At 34.8% G+C, this 8,720-nt stretch overlaps 1 pseudogene; it reads right to left on the bottom strand.

The window, feature by feature from the left end:
- On the bottom strand, positions 6,576 to 7,586 carry C1QBPP1 (complement C1q binding protein pseudogene 1; annotated as a pseudogene).

Below are 8,720 nucleotides of genomic sequence, written 5' to 3' on the forward strand. Positions count from 1 at the left end.
GCAAAAAAGGAAATAATAAAGGTATGAGCAAAAAAACCAATGATTTAGCAATAAATCATATAAAAGAGAAACCAAACAAGGCTAAAAGTTGTTTTTTAAAAGATAAATAAAATGCTCATATCTCTAGGAATGTTGTTATACTTAAAAAATAAAAGCTATGAGTTATACTTAGTAAAAATGAAGAAAAGAAATTCTTTTATCAGTTAGAACATGAAACGGTTATCAGAGGAAAACAATTTTATGTCAATAACTTTTAAGTTATATGAAATAGATCAACTTTTTGAAAAACAGGATTTTCCAAATGAATTCAGGAAGATATAGAAACATAAATAGTCCTATATTCAGAAAATTTACTGATTCAATAATTTATACTATTGTCTTAAAAAGTTAATTGTCAGTTGCTATAATACCTTAAGGAAGAACTAATGTCAATTTTATAGAAACTGTTTTAGAGAATAGAGAAAAGGGAACATTTTCAAGAAATTGTATGCGGCTAGCATATTACTAATACTAAAACCTTACAAAAACAGTAGAAAGTAAACTTATCTCTTTTATGAATATTATCTTCATGAATATAAATGAATATGAATTCATTCTGTCATGAATATAAAATCAAATATTTTAAGCAAAATGAACAATTGGAAGTCAGTATATGTAAGAAGATAATATATAATGGAAAGGTTTACGTTATGGCTAGGTTGAATTTAGCAATTTTTAGCAGAACTACTATACATATTAGCAATATAGAACACAAAATCATCTAATGATTTTTATTAGGTGTGAAATAATGTAAAAAATTTGATAAAATTCAACATCTGTGTATGGAAATTCTCTTAGCACACTAAAATATCCTAATTCTTCAATTTGATGAAGAATTTCTACAAATAGCATATCAAAAACTTCATATTGGGCTGGGCATGGTGGCTTACGCCTGTAATCCCAGCACTTTGGAAGGCCGAGGCTGGTGGATCACCTGAGGTCGGGAGTTCAAGACCAACTGGACCAACATGAAGAAACCCCATCTCTAATAAAAATACAAAAAAAAAAATAGCCGGAAGTGGTGGTGCATGCCTGTAATCCCAGCTACACAGGAGGCTGAGGCAGGAGAATCACTTGAACCCAGGAGGTGGAGGTTACAGTGAGCCAAGATCGCGCCATTGCACTCCAGCCTGGGCAACAAGAGTGAAACTCAGTCTCGAAAAAACAAAAAACAAAAAAACTTTATATTGACTAGTACTATATTGAAAGCTTGTTTTCTGAGACTGAACATGATAAACATATACTGTATCACTGTTTCTATCTAACATAGTCCTGGTAGTTCTAAAAATCAGGCAGGAAAATGATTTTAAAAAACAAATGAAAAAATAAAACTTAGGCACAAGTGTCATCACTGTTGTCTTTATCCAGTCAGGCTGCTATAGCAAAATACATTAATACATTAGACTGGGTACTTTGTAAACAACAGAAATTTATTGCTTACAGTTCTGGAAACTGGGAAGTCCAAGATCAAAATGCCAGCCAATTTCCCTGGTGAGGACTTGCTCTGTGCTTCTTTAATGGCAACTTGTAGCTGTGTCCTCACATGACAGAATGATAATCAAGCTCCCTTGTGCTCTTTTATAAGGGCACTAATTTCATGCATGAGGGTGGAGCTTTCATGACCTGATTATCTCCCAAAAGCCTCACCTCTTAATACCATTGCATTGAGGATTAGATTTCAATGTATGAATTTGGGGGTGAGGGGTAGAAACATTCTGACTATGACAATTGTATATGAAGTTTAATTCGACAGGTAAATTAACAGAATTAAGCAGTGAATTTAGTAGGGTTGCTAGGCAAAAGGCCAAATACAAAAATCAAATGATTTTTATTACAGTAATAGCAACTACTAGAAAATGAAATTATGTATAATTTAAAATACCATCAAAAATATCTCACACCAAATCAAAAACATTGAGAACACCCAAAGCTGTTGAGGATGTGGATCAACAGGAAGACTCACTCATTGCTGCTGGGATTGAAAATGGTGCAGCTACTTTGGAAGACATGTTGGCAGTTTTCTACAAAATGAAATGCTCTTATGAAATGATCCAACATTTACACCCTTTAATAGCCACTCAAATGGGTTGAAAAGTTACACCCATACAAAAACTTTTGTCAGCGCACTCCTGAAAGCACTTTTTATCATGACATTAATCCATTTATGAGGGTGGATCTCTCATGGCCTAATCACCTCTTAAACATCCCACCTGCTAATATACTGTTACAATGGCAATTAAATGTGAACATGAGTTCTGGAGAAAACAAACATTCAAACTAGAGGAGTCACCATCTGCGAAAATTGATCCTGTGCTCATTTCATGACCTCAGCATTTCACTCATAGGTAAATTCTCAACAGAACTAAATAAATATCTAGAATATGTATTAGAATGTTCACATAAGCTTTATTCATAATGACATTAAAATATACTTCCACTTTACCCACTGAAAGCATTTATGTTTTCATAACATTATGCTACAGTAGTACTTAGTAATTTTGAAAATGTTTTGAAAAATTAGCAAGACTCCTTTCAGTCTAAATCAACTTCAGTCTTTATATTTAATTTACCAGGCATATTAAACAGTGAACACTTACATATAAATAACCCATGTCTTTCATGTGGTTTCCTTGGCATTATGTATAAATATTTGATATAACAATACAGAAAAAAATAGAAGTTAAACATGAATCTCTCTTAATTATTTGCAAAACATTTGATTAGACTTATGGTGATATGAACTGTTAAAAACATCCTTTCTTATGAATAGTCTTGAAGTATTTGAATAGGTCAAAGAGATAATTAATTAATAGGCAGAAGAAATATTTGTCTTGAATCTCTAAAACAACAACAACAAAAAATGTGCTTTCCTTTCTCTTTTAGAAATGTCAGAAATTCCCCTCCTAAAGCCGACTTTATAATTTAAAGTTTTAATTCACTCATGCCTGTAATCCTAGCACTTTGGGAGGCCAAGGCTGGCGAATCATGAGATCAAGAGATTGAGACCATCCTTGCCAACATGGTGAAACCTCATCTCTACCAAAAATACAAAAATTAGCTGGGCATGGTGGCATGGCGCCTGTAGTCCCAGCTACTCAGGAGCCTGAAGCAGGAGAATTGCTTGAACCTGGGAAGTAGAGGTTGCAGTGAGCCAAGATCGAGCCATTGAACTCCAGCCCAGGTGACACAGCGAGACTCCGTCTCAAAAACAAATAAATAAATAAATAAAATAAATAAAAATTTTTTAAAAAGTTTTAATTCACATTTAAAACCGTTTTCTAGAAAGTACAATACTTCCTATTAATCTCAGTCACTCTCTCTGTCTCTCTTCCTCTTACGCACAAAGTAAAAATAAAATGAGATTTTTCTAAGGTTAGATGGTGAGACCTCTTTCATGTGAAACCCTGATTTCATGATATGTCTTAAATAATGTGTGAGGCATATTTAATTAAGGGATGGGGGGGCAGCAAGAGATGATGGTGTTGTCTGTTCTTATTTACAGACTACTATGAAAAGTGGGACTATGTGTGGCAGATCCTTTAATTTTTCAGTGTCCCGTCTCTAGGCAAACCTGTTTTCAGCATAACAATTTGAGCGTGTGATATCCATTTTTCTGCTCTCTGCCACAGGTTCTTGTTTAAACAAAGGGAGAAGTGCAGTTAGGAGGTAGAACTGAGTTCATAGCTTACCTCCTTCCCCACAAGAACCAAATGAGAATGGGAGCCCAGAGACAAATGTCCCAGATTATCTCCTTTATGCAGACAATTCTGGGAGGCATATGATGCTCAGATTTCCTGGATGAATTGAGTCCTTAAAACCTGACTGAGAAAATTCAGTCTCACACCTCTTTTTCCACTCTCCTGTATCTGACATTTCTTTTCCACACTCTTATTTGCTGGAGTTCCAGTCTTTCCCCCTCACTCTACCACACATACTACCTGTACCCTAGTCTTGTTTCATAATGTGATTTTTGAGGTAACATAAAATTAAAAAGCTGCTTTGAAATAACGCAAAAAGAAGTGTCATTTGATTTAATGTGTAAAAAGCATAGGAAAGCTGAAAGTTACTGAGAGGTTTATATTTTAGGATAGCATAGAAATAATCATAGCGTTATAGCTAGGAACAAAAGTGTATCTATCCTCTTTCCTTCAATACATTAGTGAAAATATAGGTTATATACCATTTGCAAATTGCAGATAGTCAAATGCAAAGCTGGAGAGTAAAATCTTCTTAGAGATGAAGTTAGAACTCAGAAATCTTTAAACTTGTCTAGTTAGAGAGAAATACTTATTTCCTGTAACTACTTTGTTTAAAGCTTTTATATATGATGTCATTTAGTTGGAGGACAAAACAATAGTGTTACAACAGAATTCTTAATGTTTTAGTGCCATTTACAATGAAATGTCACAATCTGAAACTTACTTTGATTTATAAGCAGTTCTCAAGCTTTATTTTTCAACAAGTTCCTTCCACTTATCTCTTGTGTTTCTCTGTAATGTTGATGTGCAATGTATGTGTATCAAGCAAAGAGTATAAAAATAAAATCTTTTGGGTAAAAATTTCTCACAATATACTTTCCAATATATTATGTTCACAAGTAGTTTGTTATAAGATTCTTTCTTTTTTTTCCTGTTGCATAAAGCAGAAAATATTGTATAAAAAGCAGTGAACTATCATTTACATTTTTCTCCAAATTACAATATTTAGAGAGCCTTAGGAACTTTAATGGTACTGCTTACCTGATGTGCTCATAGTAATCTGTTTATTATAGTGTTGCTTAAACTACTGCTGATTTACATGTTAACAGGCATATTATTTAATCAATGACATCAAACTCTGGTATTGAGAGTATAACTGTACTTCTTCATAAACTGGTGGATTGCAGAGCTGTGTTAAGTAAAACAAATAACAATTTATGTCTCTTGTTAGAACATATTCTGCTGCTTATTTTCTTTTAAAGTCTTTTATGTGGAATCAATGTCAGGAGAGCATTTTATACTAATTTTTGTTTTTACTCTTTAAAGTACGTTAATGGCATCTTCTGGTTTCCCTATTGAGTTTCCTAAAATGGAAATTTGACAGCTAAGTATAATATACAGTTCATTAAATTTGAAAATAAAGTGAATCTCTGCATATTTATAGTACAATAATGGATTCATTCTGATAATTGCTAAGGTGTTTTGAGCCAAAAGTATGTGAAATATTCAGAAAGTTTGGAAATATATGGCATAAATATTTGTTTTTGAGGATGTATAAATCCAAAACTAAGATGGATCTGGTGTATGAATGCATGTTGAATCTGTTGAGTAAAGGTTTTTGGAGATGAGCAATTTCCTTCTGCAAGGTAAATGCAAATTTTTCAAGAGAGCAGAGTGTTGTGTGCAAAGGCAGAAAAGATATTAACTAAATTACCTGCTGTCCTGGAGACATTAATTTGCTTCATCGAGAAAGGTATTCTCAGAGTATTTTACTGATTCAGATTCATGATGGGGTCGAATGCATATCTTCCTGCTTAACAGTCAACCCTACATTAAACTATTTATGAAGGATAAAAGTAAATTGATCATGTATTTCTCAAGTTCTTTTGAAGGTAGCAAATAGATTAAACAGGATGTGGAAGAGTTTAGACTTCAGATAATCCTGGCTTTCTGTTATATTAATTAATGTTACATGCTTGTTAGTATATAAGTCTCTAATTTCAGTCAAAATCTCTATTTAGCTTAATAACATTTCCAGTTCCTGGATATTTAATGGCTGACATTGAAAATAAGCATGTAATGCCTGTGTCTTCCTAACCATGTAGAATGAAGATTATAGTGGCTATTGTTATTTTTATTATTATTACATAGCATATTCAGTTGTGTGGTGTGACATCTATTAATTGAAAAAAAACACAAGTAAGGACATTGCAATAGTAAATATTAAGAAAGCTTAATTTCAACCAAAAACTTAGATGTTAATTCTGTGAGCATAATTTTTGGCAAAAAAAGAAGTAAGCAAGTTATATTTTTTTCTCTATTCTTTACCATTGATTATAGCAAAGTTTTATTAACTCACCACACAACAAATACAAAGGGAAAAGATAGAAGAGGAAAAAAAGGAATGCCTTCAACTACTCAGCGATTGAGTACATTATCAACCCTCTCACCTTGCTTGCTCTTATTAGAAAGAAAAGATACGTTAAGACTAGTTCAATTTTCTCTACAAATCAGATTCAGTTTACACACACACACACACACGCACACACACACAATACACACATATGTCCTAAATTTTCCAGGATTTTTTGCTACATTAAAGATTATAAGTATAATTATTTTATAGGCTTATTATATTATTATTACCTTATTTTTTCATTCGAATAATGATTTTAGAGCACATACACATATATAAATGTATACCTACTGACATAGTTCTACATGTGAATATATTGAAGATATACCTACCATGCTTAATAGAGAAAGCATTCGAGTTGGTGAGTTAATTATTTGTAATTTTGCCACAAAATTTCAGACATATTTATTTTTCTTTTTGTCTTTGAGGAGACAAACCCATTTTATTGTCTATCGTGTTATATAAAAATCTAGAAAGAATAGATTTGTACAGAAAAAACAAATGATAATAAATGGGAGCACAAAAGAAAGAATTTAAATTTGCTATTTTTCCCAGTGGTATTAAGATGACAATCATTTTAAAGCACATGTGTCTGGCTTCAGGGTAGGATTTGTTCATCGGCCAAAGCCTGCCATAAAACTATGGCTTTCAGTGTCTGTCCGTTCTACTGGCTCTTGACAGAACTTCTGAGGTCTTCAAGAAAAGTCATGTACTCCTGCTCCTCCAGGGCTGTGCTGAGCTCCATTAGCTTATGGGCAAAAGGGTTGGCCACCCCTCCATTCACAAGGAAATCCACTAGGTGGTCATATAAGGCCGAGTCCCGGAAATCTGTGTTGAGTATAAAATTAGTGTCCTTTCATTGAGACTCCCCATTGGACTGAAAGTTACTTCCCTGATAGAGAAAAGGTCACTCTCAACCTCCTCTTCTGGCCCACCCTCATCCTCTGGGTAGTGACAGTCCAGCACAAGGGCCTTCTTGCCACCACTCTTCAAAACTTGGACCACGAAATTGGGAGGTGATGTCAATTCAGGCTCCTGTTCTCCAACTTGCTGCCCTTTCGAGGGTTCCTCCTTGCCATCAAGTGTCGGTGGGATGCTGTTGTTAATGTTGAAAGTGACAGCGATCTTTCCCCGGCAGCTTTTCCCACTAATTTAGCTTCTGTCCCATTTAACTGCCGCTCCCATCCTCCAGACATCTTAGGGAGGGTTTTATGCTTCTGGATTTTCCTCTCCTCCTCAATTTCACCATTCAGGATATCAACAGTCTCCTTCGGTGTGCAGCGCGCCACAGCCACTGGGGCAGGACCTGCGAGGCCGCAGGAGGCCAAGCCATCTCTGGGACCCCGGGGACCCGGTGCGCACGCTGAGCAGCACCAAGGACGGGGCGCACGGCCGGGGCTACGGCTGCAGGAGCTGCCGGAAGGGCGCGGCAGGGGGTTATTTTTCTATTTCATTTTGATTATGACTATAAAATACAAAATCAATGCATTCTTAAAAAGTGCTATAATGTAAAAATTATAAATATACAAAACACGAAGAATCAGCATGTAGTTTGTATTTAGAATTATTATGCAGTTAATATTAGCAGTGTTAAACATGAATTTAATAGAAATGAGCATAATTCAGTTTATTGTGATATAATCTGTTTAGGTGAATCATAGTCTTCACATTTGTAGATTAGCTATTTTTGAAATGTATAAGATAGCACAAAGTATGTGATGGCATAAGAGTAGATGCATGTTGAATCTTCCATGCTCACCTTTGGTGTCAGGGAATTATTTATTCTACATTACATATGTATAAGTACCAGTTAATAAATTTAATCATGTTAATGTTGAACACAGAATTTTATGCAAGGAATGCCCTCCACCCATTAACTTCCTGAGTCCTAAACTGTTGAGTGTACAACCACTGTGAAAATAATATAATGATGAAGACCTGCTAAGTACATCTCTCTAGAGCAGCATTTTAAATATGGCACTGCTTGGTCAGCTCACTATAAAAAGAAGTATCAAGACTAGGTTTGAGAGTTAAGATCCCTTAGGGCCAGGCATCCATTCTATAAGACAGGCAGAGGTGCATTTCTTATCTCTTCAATGATAATAAAAGCTTTTTATGTACTAGTATCTATGGTTCCAGCATCACAACCACTCACTAAGAAATTCTCCAGTGGTTCTTACAGGATCCAAATCAATTAGTGTGGCAGTTTCTCCCTTCATGTTACCATTTGCACTAGTGTCGTTAAGGCCCCTACTCTTACAGGGTGGTTTACAAGAATCCAGATCTGTTAAATTGGCAAGTTGTGTAGAGAATAGGACTATGGGATAGATGGGGAATGTGATTCCAAATTCCATCTAGGTCTCCTGTAATGTGATTCTCCAGATTGGCCTTCTCTTCTCTTTATGCAATTGCTCCTCATTCCTCTTGCTTTTCTTCCCCATACCCAGTCCTCTCTATTTTTGTTATATTAGAAACAGGTTCTAAGCACAAACACTCTCCAGCAGTGATTCTTTTGATCTCTGTGTGTGTGTGTGTATACAAATTCTTAAGTTTATATATATACGTGT

Source organism: Homo sapiens, chromosome 21, assembly GCF_000001405.40.
Source record: "Homo sapiens chromosome 21, GRCh38.p14 Primary Assembly".
NCBI lineage: Eukaryota > Metazoa > Chordata > Mammalia > Primates > Hominidae > Homo > Homo sapiens.